Source organism: Homo sapiens, chromosome 4 (genome assembly GCF_000001405.40).
Source record: "Homo sapiens chromosome 4, GRCh38.p14 Primary Assembly".
NCBI lineage: Eukaryota > Metazoa > Chordata > Mammalia > Primates > Hominidae > Homo > Homo sapiens.
This window is the reverse complement of record NC_000004.12, coordinates 1,394,073-1,411,295: the sequence shown is the minus strand read 5'-3', so window position 1 is coordinate 1,411,295 and position 17,223 is coordinate 1,394,073. Positions and strand designations below refer to the sequence as shown.

The 17,223-nt window shown below is 63.3% G+C and overlaps 2 protein-coding genes across 2 annotated transcripts in view, besides 6 other annotated features; one reads left to right on the top strand and one right to left on the bottom strand.

Moving 5' to 3' along the window:
- Positions 541-835: a silencer, noted in NCBI's record as "tiled region #3424; HepG2 Repressive DNase matched - State 10:DNaseD, and K562 Repressive DNase unmatched - State 8:EnhW". NCBI's record gives its function as "represses a minimal TATA promoter and a strong SV40 promoter by Sharpr-MPRA in HepG2 and K562 cells {active_cell/tissue: HepG2 | K562}" and the evidence as "EXISTENCE:reporter gene assay evidence [ECO:0000049][PMID:27701403]".
- On the top strand, positions 4,854-8,364 carry NKX1-1 (NK1 homeobox 1). Its single transcript, NM_001290079.1, has 2 exons — positions 4,854-5,316; positions 7,481-8,364. The coding sequence occupies exons 1-2, from the start codon at positions 4,854-4,856 to the stop codon at positions 8,362-8,364; spliced, it is 1,347 nt and encodes a 448-aa protein (NP_001277008.1).
- Positions 4,903-5,493: an enhancer, noted in NCBI's record as "H3K4me1 hESC enhancer chr4:1399591-1400181 (GRCh37/hg19 assembly coordinates)". NCBI's record gives its function as "activates a minimal SCP1, AML or CMV promoter by ChIP-STARR-seq in naive H9 embryonic stem cells {active_cell/tissue: H9 hESC(naive)}" and the evidence as "EXISTENCE:reporter gene assay evidence [ECO:0000049][PMID:30033119]".
- Positions 7,781-8,075: a silencer, noted in NCBI's record as "tiled region #8056; HepG2 Repressive non-DNase unmatched - State 10:DNaseD". NCBI's record gives its function as "represses a minimal TATA promoter and a strong SV40 promoter by Sharpr-MPRA in HepG2 cells {active_cell/tissue: HepG2}" and the evidence as "EXISTENCE:reporter gene assay evidence [ECO:0000049][PMID:27701403]".
- UVSSA (UV stimulated scaffold protein A) overlaps positions 15,307-17,223 on the bottom strand; it is a 53,979-nt gene continuing 52,062 nt past the window's right edge. Inside the window, exon 15 of the transcript XR_007057948.1 lies at positions 15,307-16,809. The gene's annotated coding sequence lies outside the window, so the exon portion shown is untranslated. The remainder of the gene's footprint in view (positions 16,810-17,223) is intronic.
- Positions 15,319-16,059: an enhancer, noted in NCBI's record as "H3K4me1 hESC enhancer chr4:1389025-1389765 (GRCh37/hg19 assembly coordinates)". NCBI's record gives its function as "activates a minimal SCP1, AML or CMV promoter by ChIP-STARR-seq in naive H9 embryonic stem cells {active_cell/tissue: H9 hESC(naive)}" and the evidence as "EXISTENCE:reporter gene assay evidence [ECO:0000049][PMID:30033119]".
- Positions 15,319-16,859: a biological region, named in NCBI's record as "P300/CBP strongly-dependent group 1 enhancer GRCh37_chr4:1388225-1389424".
- Positions 15,660-16,859: an enhancer, noted in NCBI's record as "P300/CBP strongly-dependent group 1 enhancer chr4:1388225-1389424 (GRCh37/hg19 assembly coordinates)". NCBI's record gives its function as "activates an origin of replication core promoter dependent on BRD2, BRD4, P300/CBP, MED14 and CDK7 cofactors, with strong dependence on P300/CBP, by STARR-seq in HCT116 cells {active_cell/tissue: HCT116}" and the evidence as "EXISTENCE:reporter gene assay evidence [ECO:0000049][PMID:35650434]".

The following is a 17,223-nucleotide window of genomic DNA, read 5'->3' as shown; positions in this document are numbered from 1 at the left end:
ATCCTACCACTTACCGGCCAGGGGCACTGAGCACAGCGTGGGTCCTCACTGGCCTCAGGCTATGCATCTGTAAGGTGGTAATCCCTGCCCCGGCCTGACCCTGTGGTCGGTAAACCCTCAGGAGCCAGGGTGCTCTCCAAGTTCAACCAGCAGCACCCGGGAGAGGGAGCCAGCCGCGGCCGCCTCTGCAGCCCTGATGGGAAGCCAGGCGTCCTGCCCTCCACATAGCACCCATGTCCCCAGTTGTTCCAATTGTTTGTATCTTCTTGTTTTTAAGTTTAAAGGGTTTCAGCCTCACCTTTGCATCTCTGGTGGGCTCCTCGCCAGAAGCCAGGCCCTGTGCCACGTGCTTTCCCTCCTTAACTCGCGCAGCTTGCAGGTAGGAGAATGGAAGCCCACGCGGTGAGCGGCCTGGTAAACTTCTGGCCCTTTGGTGGATGCTGGCTTGGTCGAGGTGAACGGGCTGGCTTTTGATCGGGCTGTGTAATGTACGCCGTGCCAAGACTCCACACACAGCCTGCCGCCCTCTTCCTCCCCTGGGGCATCCCAAAGTTTGAGAAGGAGTCGAGGGCGGGGCAGGGAGGTCAGAGACGGCGGGCTGGAGGCCAGGAGACCCTCGGAGTTGCTGGCGCTGTCCGCGGTGCTGAACACGGCCCGAGCCCGTGGCCTCCGGGGGCGAGGTGGGAGCGCGCTGTCCGCGGTGCTGGCGCTGTTCGCAGTGCTGAAGCTGCCCTGTGCGGAGGCACACGAGGCTGGGGCCGCGGGTCTCCAGAGCTGACGTGCTCTCGAGGTCAGAGCCTGTGTCCCCTCTCGCTTCTGGTGTCCCGAGTGTGGTACACTCATTCTGGAGGAGTCACAGGCCCCTAAGTGGGCATATCTTAGAGAAGGAACCCAGGCCTGAAAGCAGAGGGCTCCCCTCTGACTTCCCAAACTCCGGTGATCAACATGGGTCGCCGTGGCGCGAGTGTGTGCAGGGGCGAGAAGAGGGGACACAGGAGCCTCCTTCCCCGTCCTCCGCCCGCACCCCCCGCCCCCGTCCGGCCGATGCAAGGAGGTGCACAGCGAGGCTGTGGGGCCAAGTGTGGGGTGGAGTGCACTTCGCACGAGGCAAACACTATACAAAGTGGAGGTGATTATGCCTCTGCCCAACCCTAGAGCCCCTGGGACCCTGCTGCCTTTCCAGCCTATCCAGCTAAAGCTTTCCAGGCAAAGAGAGAAGGGACTTCCCTCCATGCACCAAGTAAAAGGCTGTGACCTTGTCGTCATCATTCACCCCATGAGGGGAGGGTATCAGGACCTGGAAGCTCGCATGGGACTCAACCCCTACAATTGACAGATGAAAAAAATGCGGCGGGGGGTGGTTCATAAACCCATGCTGAGTTCGTGGCAGTGGTGGCTGGCTCCCCCTCTTCCTCTTGTCCCTCAAACTTTAAAAACCTCTAATGCTGGGGAGAAAATCCTCGAAGTCTCAGCTCCCACCCACTCCTTTCCTCATGCTCCCTTCTAAGACCCTTTACCACCACCCATACTTCTGCTCCTGTCCCAGGCGTGTTCCTGCCAACGCCCACACCCAAGCCCATCGTGACCCCACCTGGACCTGCAGCAGGGGAGAGCTCTGCAATGGAGGGAATGTTTCCTGTGCACTGGGCAGGCAGGGGCAGCCCACCCCCGGCACTGATTTCACCTGTCAGTGCCCACCTGGGGCCCTGCAAGTGAAGCTGGTGTCTTGGAGATAACCCGAGATGGCAGATGGGCAGAGATTGCACAAATGGGGGTCTAATTGACAATCAATTGTGATTAGGAGTGAAAGGACGTCTTTATAGCCCCAGACATGCTAGGTTGAGATCGGGGAGGGGAGGTATGTTTCTGGGGATCTGAGAGAGGAGGAGGGGTGCCCTGCATCTCTGTGGCTTACCTTGTTCCTCAGAGATGGGGGAGGGGTGGGGCAGGGGAGCATGCAGCGATGCCGTCTCCAAGCCTTTCCCAGGGGAGGCGACGGGAGGTGCCCTGTGTAGCTCCGGGGGTCCCCTCAGGCTCCACCACCCGGCCCCTGCTCCTCTGAACCTGACTGAGAACTTCGAAGTTCATTACCCTGCCCGCTGCGGCTCACACGAGGATGGTGTGGGGCAGAGAGGGGAGGGGAGGGAAGGCTCGAGGAGAACCTTGGGGCCCACAAACTTCAGATAGCCACGTGCTTTCGTCAAAGTGGCACTCAACCCTGGCCAGCCCCCGCCCCCATCAGGGAGAACATTCTGCAGTGCTCGATGTGCACGTGTTTGCTGGGAAACGAGTCATAATTGTATATTATAACGCAATTCCGTTATGCTATTCCCTATCGTATTTAATGTGTTATATTTACTATGTTTTAGCGACAACCATCATACATACTTCATCTATGTTGTATAAAACATCTTTTCCATGTGATTGTGTTCGTTTTGAAAGTTGTACTAAGAGGGCTGTGTGCCCATTACCCATCCCTTCCTCACGCGCAGGTGTTCCAACTATCTGGGACCCGGCAGGGTGGGTGTGTGGCTACTAGTGGGAGATGTTTGGCTGAGGTCAGGCCGTGGCAGGGACGGAAGCTTTGAGTGGGTTGTGCTTGCAGGGAGACCGGCAGCCAGGTCAGGGGTATGCCCTTGAGACCTGCCCGGCCCTCCCCGACCCAGGCCTCGCCCGCCACCCAGCGGTCTCCTGGGGAGGGGGCGCAGCAATCTGGAAAGTGTCTGGTGTGCCCCTCCTCGGGAAACAGTGAAAGAGGAACCAACACCAGCGCGGAGCTGGCGCTGGCGCTGGCGGGGAAGAGGGAGATGCAGGGATGCCAGCGCGTTTGTGAGGGCTCTGCAGGGCTTGTGTGCCTGGGTGCTCGTGAACGGATGCTCGTGAACGGATGCTGGGTGCTTGTGTGTGCTACGCACTTGTGAACGAGTGTGTGTGTGAGTGGCGTGTGCACCTCTATATCCAAATTTAGCTGGGGGAGGGGGAGAGAGTGAAGACCAAGGTGTGGGCAAAGGAGATAATTGCCTCCCTGCGATGGGAGATTACCCACCCTCCTTCCCCAGAGGTGATTTATAAGTTAAAGATAAAGAATAATCAAGTCCTGGCAAGGAAGGACACGGTGCTGTGGACCTGATTAGAATCTCGGGATGGACCAGCAGCGGGGAGGGCGGGGGAGGGGAAGGGGAGGGGAAGGGGAGGGGAAGAGGGACGGGAAGCCCTGCGCCCCCCCCCCGCCCCGCCCAACCAGTTCCAGGCTCCCTGGGGCTCAGCGTGTCCGAGCTTGGCCCAAATTACAGCCGATCGGTCCACCATTATTTCTCCCAACTTTTAATTTCTGCTTCCAAAGGATCATTGCCCGCGGTAATTGCAAAGGACCGCCCTGCGCGCGGAACAGGCTCCGGGGACCGCAGTGTAAGGCGGCGCGCACACCCGCCGGTGCACGCGCCCGCGCGCTCACACCCTGAAGAAGCGCGCGCGCTCGCACTGCCGGCGCCCACCAGGGTCCACCTGCGTCTGGCTGCTCGCTGCGTGGGCAGGAGGAGGAGGGAGAGGAGCGACCCGCCGGGGAGCTACCACGATCCCGCACTGGGACTCCGGACGCCAGGCCCAATCCTCGAGGGCCGAGGGCCGCGGGCCGCAGGGCCCTGTCCTGCAAACACCGCCGCTGTAGATAAAACGTACCCAAATAAAGACTCAGGCCGCGGGGCTTCCTATTTATCCAGATGTGGAGAAGGGGGCATTTGTCGTATTCTTTTTGGAAGAAACACACATTTTCTCCTTACTTGAAGAGGATCGATTTTATGTAGGCCGCCTGCTGTGTGTGCAATTTGTCGGTCCCCCTTTTGGGGGCGGGTTAAGAGGGACAAGCAGTCTCTCATTTTCGATTCCACTTCTAATGAGCGGCCCGGGGACCGCCGGCTCCGCCCCTCTGCTGGCACTCCAGGTCGGGCCCTAATTTGACGACGTGAAAGGGGCGGGCGTGGGAAGGGATGGAGGGGCACAGACCCTGAGCAAGAGAGACCCTGGAGACGCAAAAGGAGACCCCAAGCGGGAGCAAGTGAGAGAGGCGGGACCGAGACCCACGGAACGCGCGGGAGGGGGCTGCAGACCCGGCGGAGACTCGGAGAATCGCGCGTGAGAACCTCTCCCCCCATCCCCACCCCAACTGCCGAGGGGCGCCAGAGCTGTGGGAGCCTTCGGAGCTCAGGGCCCTGCGCGCTGGGGGCCCGGAGGAGAGGCCAGGCCAGTCACCGCATCCTGCGCCGGGATGTCCCAGCCAACTCTTGGCGCTCGCTGGCCCGCGCGCCCTGGGGTCGCTGCGGCCCCGCCGCAGATTGATCCCGCAATTATTTAAAAGCCGGGGCTGTCTCCTCCCCCTTAGCCAAGGAGGCTGGCGCGCCGTTTCCGGACGAGCGGAGGCGCAGCGACGCGCCGCTGACCACCACAGCCGCCTGCGGACCGCTCTGGGCTCCGGGCTGCGTGTCTGTTCGTCCCGCCCGGCGGCTCCGTCCGTGTGTCCTGTGCGGGGTCCGCCTCCTCGGCCCGGGACCGTTCGCAGCCAATTAGGCGCGCGCGCTAACGAGGGCGGCGGAGCCCCGCGGCCGCCTGCGGGCGCACGTGTGTTCGGCGTGTGGGCGCGTGGGCGCCTCCGGCGGGGCTGCCATAAATGCGCGGACCGGGCGCCGCGGGCGCCTAAGGCGGCGGCGAAGGCAGCACCGGCCAAGCGCAGGGCGCGGCGCCGAGAGCGAGCGGAGCAGCGGCCGCCTGCGCGGGGTCGTGTGGAGGTGCGGGGGCCGCCAGGGATGGGAGCCCAGTAGGTGGCGGGGCCCGAGCCGCCGGAGCGGCGGGAGGCCGGCATGAGCGCTAGCGGCCCCGAGGCTCCTGGGGACATTCCCGCGCTACCGCCGCCTCCCCAGCCAGGTTCGGGGCCCGCACCGCCCGCTCCCGCCGCCGCTGCCCAGGAAGCTATGGACGGGCGCGCCGAGCTGCCGGCCTTTCCCCGCGCTGGAGCCCCGCCGCTCGCGGCCAGCGACACTGTGCCTGCGGCGCCCGAGGGGGCTGGAGCGGCCCGGCCCGCAGCGCCCCTGCGCCCCACCTCCTTCTCGGTACTGGACATCCTGGACCCCAACAAGTTCAACAGCAGGAGGCGTCGTTGCGTGCTGCTGGGCCCAGTGGCTCCCGCTGCGTGCGCCCCTTGCGCTTCGGCCCCATGCGCCCCTGCACCCGCCGCCTCGGGACGCCCGCCACGCGCGGAGGAGCTGGAGCGCCGCGCCCTCGCCGGCGCCGGGGGAGTCGGAGCCGCCGGAGCTGAGCCGCCGAGTGAGTAGGATGCGCCCGGCACCAGGTCGCAGGGACGGGGGACCGGAGGCTTCTATGCGTTTACGACCCTGGGACACCGTGGCGAGTTGGGTCTGGCCCACGCCGAGGCTCCGTGGAAAGTTCGCTGAGCGCCGGGTCCGCACCAGCCCACCCGTGGCCTCCATCCGACCCGGACTGCAGGGCCTGCATCGCCAGGCTCCTCTGGAGAAGCTTAGCCGGGTCAGGCCCAGGGGCTGCAGGGCTGTGAGGCCGGTCCAGGGTTCGCCTCCGCGCGTCTCCGGCCTAGAAGGGTAGTTGGTGCAGGAGGCGAGGGGCCGCTCGCGGTGGCTGGCCCGTGACCTCCCCGCCCCCACTGTGCCCGCCCGAGGCCTCCCTCCCTCCCTCCTTTCTCCCTCTCTCTCTTTTTTTTTGGACAAATCAGACTAATTGTGACAAAACGCTGGTTATCGCTGGAAAAACAATTAAATCCCTTCGATTACAGTTAAGGGGAAATGTGCTTAGCGGCGGAAAGCGGCCGGTAATGGGGCGGCCCGCGCCCCCGGTCGGGTCGATATCCCATTACGGCGCGTGCATATCTCTTTCAAGCACCTTGCAAACTCCCCCCGAACATCTAAATTATAGGGTCAAAATTCGGATAATTACTCGATTAAAACCTATTACACTTATTAGGGGCCGCTATTGATCGCGAATTGCATTCGACCTGCTCCTGATTGCTTTTTGTGTCCCCTCCTCCTCCCTCCAACTTTCCGGCCCTACTGAAGCACAGGGAGGACAGCGCGGGGCGGACCGGGCTGGGCCGCGGCCACCGGCTCTGCGCCTGGAGGCTGCGGGCCGCACCTGCGCGGGGCCTCTTCCGGGTCGGCCGAGATGGAGGGCGAACAAATCCGGCTGAGTGGAGGGGACCCTACGGACTCTGCGGCGGCTGCGCTCAGAGCCTCCACCTGCGGGGAGTCTATGGGGCGGAAGGCCGGGATCCCGCTGAAGCCGGGAAGGCGCGCGCATACTACAGCCGGGGAGTCATCTGGGCCAGGCACCCGGGGCAGGGCTGGGACGGCGCTCGCGGTCGTCTAGGGGCGGATCCTACTCCTGCTGAGGGTCGCGGGGACCCAGACCACCTGCTGGCCTCCATGCCAGGTGGCCAGTCGCCCTGGAGGAATCTGACAGGAGCGATTGGTCATTTCTTACCGGAGATTTCGGTTCCGACCTGGCCGGAGAGCAGGCCGCGGCTGCCGCTGGGCAGCTCTGTGGAGGGCACCTGCCCCGACTCCTCCTGACTTAGGCCCCCAGTGCCGGGGCATAGGCGACCCTGCCTGGGAGAGATGCTTTCTTCCAAATTTCAGAGACTCAAAATGCAGTCACTTCAGGGCCTCTGCTTGGAGGATGCGGAGCTGCTGTTCAGACTCGGCCGACCGGGCCTTTAGGCCGCGGGGAGCCACTCCGACCTGCACGCCCGCCCAGCCCTCCTGGTGAGGCCGAGCAGGGCCCTACCCGCGGCAACTCTGCGCAGGGGCCGAGGCGCGGGCAGGGGAGCCGGGGCTGACCCTCGCGACCGAAGCTCAGGGCCTGGAGGCTTGAGGTAGGGTCGGGGCCAGGGCATAGGATTTGGGTCCCCCAAGCCCCATTCTCTCGGCCGGCTCCGGCCCCACCGCCGGGCCTGTTATTAAATGCCCGGCAATTGGCTGGCCCTGCGCCGGCGGTAATTGGGGGGTAATATACGCCGAAATAAATTAAATGGCCTTAACTAGTTTGTACACTACACAAAATGAGTTTAATTAAGTGTGTATCAGCCCTGCGGATCGATCAGAGCTTCCACTCCGCTGTGATCTCCGCAGCCGGGCCCGGCCCGCAGCACCCGTCCAGCCCCGCTCAGGCAAAAACGCCCGGCGCCGCGAGAACGGGCAGCGCGGGGCGAGGGGGACCCTCTCCATAGAAAGAAACAAGCAAGGGACCGAGAGGAGACGCGGGCGGCGGGAGGGAAGGACAGGCCGAGGGGAGGGAAACGACAGAGCGAAGGAGAGAGAGAGGAGGCGGGTGACGAAGCAGGAGGCGCTGAGCAGGGGGCGGGAGGGAACCCTGGGGGAGGAAGCGGGGCGCGCGGAGGGCGGGATCTGGGAACCGGCCGGTCCTAACTGCCCTGCCCTGTCCTTGTCCCTCCCTCCCGCAGACGCCGGCGACCCCTTCAAGGCAGGGGAGGCCGAGACCAACGACACCAACGGCTACAGCAGCGGCGGCGGCGGCCACAGCCCGAGCGCGGACAGCGGGGACGAGGTTCCCGACGACGAGGACGACGACGAGGACGAAGCGCCCGAGACGGAGGCGGCGCGAGGCGCGGAGGAGGCGCGGGGAGGCGGCGGCGGCCTCGGGGCCCGCGGGTCGGGTTGCCAGGGCGCGGCTGAGACCGACGCGTCCCCCGGAGCCACCGTCGACGAGGCAGCGGCCCCCGGACCCCGCGAGAACTCGCCCGTTGCCCAGGGCCCACCGGGAGGTGCAGCGGCGCCGGGGGGCGCGGGGACCACCCCGCAGGGCACGGCGACGGCGGCGAAGCCCAAGCGGAAGCGCACGGGGTCCGACTCCAAGTCCGGGAAGCCGCGGCGAGCGCGCACCGCCTTCACCTACGAGCAGCTCGTGGCGCTGGAGAACAAGTTCAAGGCCACGCGCTACCTGTCGGTGTGCGAGCGCCTCAACCTGGCGCTGTCGCTCAGCCTCACCGAGACGCAGGTGAAGATCTGGTTCCAGAACCGCCGAACCAAGTGGAAGAAGCAGAACCCGGGCGCCGACACCAGCGCTCCGACCGGCGGCGGGGGCGGACCGGGACCGGGGGCCGGGCCTGGCACGGGGCTGCCCGGCGGCCTCAGCCCGCTCAGCCCCTCGCCGCCCATGGGCGCCCCGCTCGGCATGCACGGCCCGGCCGGGTACCCGGCGCACGGCCCCGGAGGCCTGGTGTGCGCCGCGCAGCTGCCGTTCCTGTCGAGCCCGGCGGTGCTCTCGCCCTTCGTGCTGGGCTCGCAGACCTACGGGGCGCCCGCCTTCTACGCGCCGCACCTCTGAGCCCCGTGCCGCTCCGCCTCCGAGGCCGCTGCCGGGCCCGGCTGTTTTCTACGATTCCAGTCGTTGACTCTGTACATAACCGGTTGCTACGGAAGAGTTTTAAATTTATAAATGACCATGCGCGTCGGGGCCGGGCAGGTGGCTCCCGCGGGCTCGGCCCGCTGCGAAGCACTTTGCGGAACTTCACTCAATCAATAAACCGCAGGCGGCCGCGCCCCCTTCTCCCAGGCTCCCGCGCCGCCCTCCGCCCGGCCGGGCCCACCCGTGAATCCTCTCCGGTGGGGACCAAGGCTCCTCGGGTGTTGGCCTTGAGCGGGACTCCAGCCCGTTTTCCCACCGGCCTGGCGTCCCCCGGCCGGAATTCAGGCCACTCTGCTGGTGCCTGCCCGTCGTCGTGGGCGCAGGGGCTGAGCGCAGGGGCTCACCCGCCAAGCTGGCTGAGGCTCAGGTCCCAGCGTCACCTCCCTGACCGCCCCCTCCCCGTCCCAAAAAAGATCACAGGTCTCGGAAAGTGACCAGCTGCTTCCTCTTCGCCTCTCCTCTTAGCCATGGAGCTGGTGGGGCCGCGGCATTTTCCGCCTCCTGCTCCCCACCCCTGCAGCCTGCTCCGGTCCCACTCCCCTGCCCCACAGCCCCGCAAGGGAGCACCGGGCTAGGCGTGTCAGCTTGGGGGCGGTGTCAGCTTCGGCTACTGCCTGGAGGAAGAAGCGCCTGCCTGTTTTCCCCGGGGAGAAGGGGCTGCCTGGGCTCAGCTACCTGCCCAAGAGCGTCCCAGCCCATTCAGACCCAGGCCCCCAAAAGTCGGGTCGAGTGCTCCCTCTTGGAGCTGCCACCTCTCCTCCAACGACGCTGGAAACAGTCCCTACATCCCCTCACAGGCTCTCGGAGTCCTGTGGGTTTGGTGTTCGCCTGAGCTGGGCTCAGGGAGGTGAGAGGCAGAGGCGCTTGGGCTGGGCGGCAGTGTGGATGCAAAAGCTGGTGCTTGGAAGCGGGGAAGGGCGACGGGAGGAGGGTTCAGAGCCCCAGAAAGGGTGGGGAGGCGGCATGAGACACTGGCCACAGCCGGGCAGGTGCTGCCCCTCTTCTGCCACTGGCGGGAGTCCTGAGTCCTGCCTCACAGAGGGAGCTTGGCTCTGCCTGGCGGCTGTGCCCTGACTGGGCCCAGTCTCCTGGTGTCCTGTCCATTTTCCGTGAGTGGGCTGAGCTCATCTCTGGGCTGTCAACCTGACAGCAACCACTGGGGGAGGGCTGGGGGCAGGTGGCGGCAGTGAATACCCAGTGCCACAGGCAAGATGGGAGACACTGCTGCCCACTGGCCTGGCCAGCACCTGTGGACAGAGAGCAGGCCCAGAGCAGCACCGGCCATCGGGCAGGTTGAGGGGGCGGGGCGCAGGGGCGGCTGGGATCACCCTGTGTGTTTGCTGCCCCCACACCCCAAGCCCCAGGCAGGCCTTGGTTCCTCCAGCCAAGGGCCGGCCTGACTCCCAGTTGCTCTCTGCTCCCTTTCTGGGTCCGCATAGGTGAAGTCACCTGCCTGCAGCAAGCGTCCTGAGGCTCACCAGCCCGGGGGCAGGGCAGCCTCTCCCTCCTCCCTCCTCCCTCCTCCCTCCTCCCTCCGCTGGCAGAGCTCAGACTTGCTCGGTGGGGGTCCATGAGGGAAGGCGAGCCACCTGCAGGTGGCCAAGTGTAGCCAGAGGGTCGACTCACAGCTGAAGCCAGTGCAGCGGGCTTGGCCTAAGCTGGGCACTGGGGCTGCTGAGTGGGAAAGCAGCTGCTGCGTGGCCAGGAGGAACCCAGGTCTGTGCTGCAAGGGCCTTCCCCTTTGCTGAGCTTGCTGGAACATTCCAGGAGCTCACAGCCCCACAGGGAGATGATAGAAGGTGGCTGCGACGGTGCAGGCCAGATTCAGACCCACTCAGAGCCGGGCCAGACCGCTGTGTGCAGCCCTCCCATGGAGCTTAGATCCTGGCTCCCCGTCCCTCCAGCTTCCACATGCCCCCACCCTGGCCTCCTCTGTCTCCTCCCCTCAAGCCTCAGCCAGAAACACAGAGCCACACCGGAGGGCCCTCTAGCAGTGCCCCTGGGCTGCAGGATGGGATGGAGGGTATGGGCCGGGGGCTGTGAGGTCTGGGAAGCAATACCCCCCTCCTTGCACCACCCCTTCTCTAAGCTCCCTGGACAGCCCACAGCCTCATGCTGCAGGCATGGGGGGCATTTCCTCCAGTCTCTGATTCACAGTCACTCTGCAGCGGACCCTCGTCGGAGTCGGACTGCGTGCAAAGCCACCTGAGCCTCCCACTGTGCTTTGCTGAGAGTCACATGTGGGAAACTGAGGCCCGGCAGTCATGGGGCTTGCTGGGGGCAGTGCCAGCTCTGGTGCCAGTGGGTGCCCTGCTCCCTCCTGAAGGAGCCTCCACTTTTTAGCCCACACTCCTACTGGGTCCCCAGGCCCCCAGTCTCCCTGGGAGAGTTGGGGAGCCATTCCCTTGCCTGCCTCCCAGGGAGCCCTCGGGCTGCCCCACCACCCCCATTTCCACCAGGTTTGGGCCTCCCCTGCCCGCCATTTCCAGTCTAGGCTGCCTGTGCCTGACTCAGTTTCAGCTCCCTGGGCCTGTGCTGCAGGCAGAGGTGAGCGGGAGCCTTGTTAGGGGTCTCAACGTGTCCCCCACTTTGGTGTCAGGGCCGTGAGGGAAGGTCTCAACCTCAGGATCTGAGGGCACTCTTCCATGGACCCTCCTCCTAGGGCTCAGGACCCATCTTGCCCTGGACCACACCTGCCCCAAGTTCCCAGAACCACACACATGTCGTTGCTGCAAAGCCAGGCACAGAAGGGGCCTCTTGTCAAGCGAGCATGAGCCCAGACAAGGGCGGCGTTTGCTCTCACGCCCTGGGCTCCCGTCTCCTGCCCAGGGACCGCTGAGCCCAGACGGTAAGGGGCCTCCCATTGAGGCCACCTCCCCACCCCCACCAGCCGATGGTGCTGTGGTCCATTGCTGTGTGGGTCAGGCCTGGGTTTGGCTGCGTGTAAGAGAAAACCTGAATGAAGAGAGTTGAAAGGAGACTGTTTACTTTCTCTTTGTGAGGGAATTCTGGCCGTGGCAGCCCTGGGCAGTTTTGAGACCTTCACTGAGTCCTTGGAGACCCAGCTCCTGGCTCTCTGTGCTGCATCAGGCCTGGACGGGCCTCAGCCTCACAGAACCCAATGGAAACTGAGGCTCCAGCCACCACATCCTCACCCCCGGCTGCAAACAGGAAGAAAGGGAGTGGCCAGCAACACCCCTCTCTTTTAAGGAGCTTTCCCGGAAGCCCACACAACACAGCTGCTTATGTCCCATTGGCCAGAGCTGGGTCACGGGCCCTCTCTTAGCCAAGGGAGGCTGGGAAGTGCAGTCTCCCCCCAGGCATCTCACTCCTAGTGAAAGGTGAGGATGGATTGGGGCCACCGGCTGCCCCTGCCGAGCCCCCCTGTGCTCCCCACCCATGCCCACCTGCCCACACCCCCAGCCCCAGGCAGCTGGGCTTCTGAAGAAAGTCGCCCTCAGCCCGCCTGGTCTTTTCCGAAGCCCAGGGCCTCGACCTTGGTGGGCACCCAGCTCCTACACCCTAAGGTGTCTGGTGTACCCTCTCCATAACCCCACCCTGGGTTGGCCACAGGTCCAAGCCCATCTTCCAGCCATAGGATCTTGTCACCTGCCTGCGTCCTGCCAGGGGAGACAGCCCCTGCTGGGCTTCAGATGCGTCCAGTGTCTCCAGGCTTAGGCATAACCCTCCCTGGACCCCGTGTGGCCTCCAGCTCTCCCCCTTTCCTCCCAGCCTCCAGCCAAAGTATCGAAAGAGCCGTCTACACCTGCTGTCTACACTTCCTCCTCACTTCTCCACCCCTAAGGAGGCTCTCGCCGTCACTCGGGCCCTTGGCTGCCCCATCCTGGCGTGGCCTCCTCAGCCCCCTGCTCACTTGGTGGCTGGTTCCTCCTGCTCCGAGTCCTGGGCAGCCTGGGCTTGGGGAACCCTCATCCTCCACTTGCCTTCCTGCCATGGCAATGGTGTGCCTGGCCCTGTCCTTGCCCCGCGATGTCCTGGCAATGGTGTGCTTCTCCCTGTCCTTGCCCCGCAGTGTCCTGGTAATGGTGTGCCTCGCCCTGTCCTTGCCCTGCGATGTCCCCCCGGGGGCCAGGGGCCCTCCAGGCACCACAAAGCCAGACCAAGCTCCTCCCAGACCAAGCCAGCCCCACAGCCTCAGAGCAAACCCCAGGCACCAAGCACCCTCCCCACATCCAACCCAATCTACCCATATCCAGATGCCCGAAAACACCCTGCATCCAACCTGATCTACCCACATCCAGATGCCCGAAAACACCCGGCATCCAACCTGATCTACTCACATCCAGATGCCCGAAAACACCCTGCATCCAACCTGATCTACCCACATCCAGATGCCCGAAAACACCCGGCATCCAACCTGATCTACCCACATCCAGATGCCCGAAAACACCCGGCATCCAACCTGATCTACCCACATCCAGATGCCCGAAAACACCCGGCATCCAACCTGATCTACTCACATCCAGATGCCCGAAAACACCCTGCATCCAACCTGATCTACCCACATCCAGATGCCCGAAAACACCCGGCATCCAACCTGATCTACTCACATCCAGATGCCCGAAAACACCCTGCATCCAACCTGATCTACCCACATCCAGATGCCCGAAAACACCCGGCATCCAACCTGATCTACCCACATCCAGATGCCCGAAAACACCCGGCATCCAACCTGATCTACCCACATCCAGATGCCCGAAAACACCCGGCATCCAACCTGATCTACCCACATCCAGATGCCCGAAAACACCCTGCATCCAACCTGATCTACCCACATCCAGATGCCCGAAAACACCCTGCATCCAACCTGATCTACCCACATCCAGATGCCCGAAAACACCCTGTATCCAACCTGATCTACTCACATCCAGATGCCCGAAAACACCCGGCATCCAACCTGATCTACCCACATCCAGATGCCCGAAAACACCCTGCATCCAACCTGATCTACCCACATCCAGATGCCCGAAAACACCCGGCATCCAACCTGATCTACCCACATCCAGATGCCCGAAAACACCCTGCATCCAACCTGATCTACCCACATCCAGATGCCCGAAAACACCCTGCATCCAACCTGATCTACCCACATCCAGATGCCCGAAAACACCCGGCATCCAACCTGATCTACCCACATCCAGATGCCCGAAAACACCCGGCATCCAACCTGATCTACCCACATCCAGATGCCCGAAAGCACCCGGCATCCAACCTGATCTACCCACATCCAGATGCCCGAAAACACCCGGCATCCAACCTGATCTACCCACATCCAGATGCCCGAAAACACCCGGCATCCAACCTGATCTACCCACATCCAGATGCCCGAAAACACCCTGCATCCAACCTGATCTACCCACATCCAGATGCCCGAAAACACCCTGCATCCAACATCCCCCCTGGCCACCGCCACGTTGTCCCCCCATCCCTAGGACCTCCCTGCGGTGCTCAGGCCTCCCCACACCCAGTGTCCTGCTTGTGATGGCCACCTGGGTCCCCCATCTCTTCCCTGGTGACTGAGTGCCCCCTCACTCCTGGTCTCTTCTGGCCAGCTGTGCACAGCGTCAGCTGGGAGGCGGGGAGGTGAGGCTGGACGAATAGCTCAGCAGCAGAGGGAGGTGAGCACAGGGAGGAAGGGGCAGGGGTGGGCAGCCAGGCAGGGCTGCAGGACTGCACCTGAGGGAGGAGGCAGGGCTGAGCCCCATCCCTGCCCTCACGACCACTGTGGCCCCCACCTGCCTCTGGCACTGTTGCCCCTCCCCCATCCCAAGGTCACCTTTTCATCCACAGAGGCCCGTGGGGTGGGGGCATCTCATCCACTGGGGGGGGACCTTGCTCATGGGTGACAACCTGGGGATGTCCATGTCCCACCTCCTCCCGACTGCCCTGCAGTGTGGTCCCCTTTGGAGACAGCTCTGCTGGTGCAGACGCCTTCTCTCTTTCCCTGGGAGGCTGTGGCTGAGCGCTCATCTCAGATGAGCTGAGCTCCACATGTCCTGCCTCTGGGGCAGCAGGCAGCTGGGTGCTGCCTGTGACTAGGTTCTGGCCAAGTCGACATGAACAGTGTGTGTGGGGGTAGGGGACTGAGAAGGCTCCTTATGGGAATCAGCTCAGAGGGGAGGCAAAGCCCTCCTCCTTCCTTCTGCAGACCTGGTGATGGCTGGAGCCCCAGCAGCCACCTTGGGCCATGAGGTAGCCTTGGGGTTGGAGGCCACGTGCTCTGATACTGAGCCAGGAACTGGAAGGTGCTTGGGGGCGCCTACCCTTGGACCCTGATTCAATAGGACACAAACCCTTCTGTCTACGAGCCACTCTTATTTGGAGTTTCTGGTTCTGTGTTGCTAACCCTGACACCACTTTCCATGGTGGCCCATCCACCCCAGCGCTGGGGCTGTGACCCATGCCCACCAGTCCTCCCTTGGTCACTCCTCGCACTCACCCCCTGCTGCTCTCCGGGCCAACCTCAGCCAGTCTGCCCTGGATGAGGGCAGCAGCATGCTGGACCAGCTGGCACGGGCCCCCTCCCACTGTGAGCCGTACCAGTAGCCCCTACGTGCATCTGCAGGCCAGACCCCCCCAGGCTCCTCCCCCCGCCATCTGCCTGGCTCATGGGGACCCAAACCACTTTGTGGCAAGTGTGGGTGGAAGGGGTTTGCTGAGGGGATCTGAGGAGGGCCCACCCCCAGCACCCCCTTAGTGCCAAGTCACTGACAGTGCCCTGAGCCCGCAGTGCTGGAGCTGCTCCCAGGTGCACAGGCCCCACCCCTCACCCCACCAGCCAGAAGGGCCGGCCCAGCACCCCCACCCCACAGGGCCCCTCACTTGGTCACAAACACTGAGTCACAGGTTTGTCTTTTAATCAGCATCCATGAAAATTCATTAAAAGGTCTGATACGAAAAGCACCAGGCTAACAAATCAGTCCTGAATTCAATTTTACAAAAACACCCTCTCCTCTTCCATCTCATCCCTAATATTCCTACGTTATCTCGAGGTGCAGAGAAATATAAAAGGGATCCTTGACATAAAAACGTATTAAAAAGCCACCATGAGTAGAATGTACGGTAACAGCGTCTGACTCGGCCGGCAGGACAGGAAACCTACAGAACCACCATGCCAGGGCTTTGTGTGAGCAGGCGGGCACTCCACATGGGCACGTGTGTGAGCAGGCAGGCACTCCACATGGGCACGTGTGAGCAGGCGGGCACTCCACATGGGCACGTGTGTGAGCAGGCGGGCACTCCACATGGGCACGTGTGAGCAGGCGGGCACTCCACATGGGCACGTGTGAGCAGGCGGGCACTCCACATCGGCATGTGTGTGAGCAGGCGGGCACTCCACAATGGCACGTGTGAGCAGGCGGGCACTCCATATGGGCACGTGAGCAGGCGGGCACTCCACGTCGGCACGTGTGAGCAGGCGGGCACTCCACATGGGCACGTGTGAGCAGGCGGGCACTCCACATCGGCACATGTGAGCAGGCGGGCACCCCACATCGGCACGTGAGCAGGCGGGCACTCCACATGGGCACGTGTGAGCAGGCGGGCACTCCACATCGGCACGTGAGCAGGCGGGCACTCCACATGGGCACGTGTGAGCAGGCGGGCACTCCGCATCGGCACGTGTGAGCAGGCGGGCACTCCGCATCGGCACGTGTGAGCAGGCGAACACTCCACATGGGCACGTGTGAGCAGGCAGGCACTCCACATCGGCACGTGTGAGCAGGCGAGCACTCCACATGGGCACGTGTGATCAGGCGGGCACTCCACGTTGGCACGTGTGAGCAGGCGGGCACTCCACATGGGCACGTGTGAGCAGGCGGGCACTCCACGTCGGCACGTGTGAGCAGGCGGGCACTCCGCATGGGCACGTGTGAGCAGGCGGGCACTCCGCATGGGCACGTGTGAGCAGGCGGGCACTCCGCATGGGCACGTGTGAGCAGGCGGGCACTCCGCATCGGCACGTGTGAGCAGGCGGGCACTCCACATGGGCACGTGAGCAGGCGGGCACTCCACATGGGCACGTGTGTGAGCAGGTGGCACTCCACATCGGCACATGTGAGCAGGTGGGCACTCCACATGGGCACATGAGCAGGTGGGCACTCCACATGGACACGTGTGTGAGCAGGCGGGCACTCCACATGGGCACGTGTGAGCAGGCGGGCACTCCACATGGGCATGTGTGAGCAGGCGGGCACTCCGCATCGACATGTGTGAGCAGGCGGGCACTCCACATGGGCACATGAGCAGGCGGGCACTCCACATGGGCACGTGTGAGCAGGCGGGCACTCCACATTGGCACAAAGCGAGGGCTCATGCATAAGAGGTGCAGGGACACCTGGACAGCTATTTGAAATTTAAAAACTGGGTTTCCTGGCTCACATTTTGTATCAAAAACTAGAAGTAGATCAATGATTTCAATATGAAAATGAAACCCATAAAAGTACTAGAAGAAAACATGGAAAACATTTCAAATATAATCTTTAAGGGGGAAGAGCATTCTAAGTAGAACACAAAACTTAGAAGCCAAGAAAGATTGATAATTCAACTACATAACTCATGAAAGGAAGATCTGAGGAACGAGATGCCCACAGTGGCCGCTGAGAAGCTCTGCCACACTCCTGGAGGCATGGAAGGCTGTGCCCACACAGGCACAGAGCTGTGTGTGTGCCCGAGAGGAACCTGAGCTGCCCTGGCCCTCACCTCTGGCTGGCTTTGTGGCTGTGTGCAAGTAAGAAGTGAAGGCAAAGGCACAGTTGG

What these genes read in the sequence shown, in the direction of transcription:
- NKX1-1 (NM_001290079.1), top strand. Translation starts at nt 4,854, where the DNA reads ATGAGCGCTAGCGGCCCCGAGGCTCCTGGGGACATTCCCGCGCTACCG. An exon ending in CGCCGGAGCTGAGCCGCCGA is followed by an intron (nt 5,317 to 7,480) that starts GTGAGTAGGATG and finishes TCCCTCCCGCAG; the next exon opens with ACGCCGGCGACCCCTTCAAG.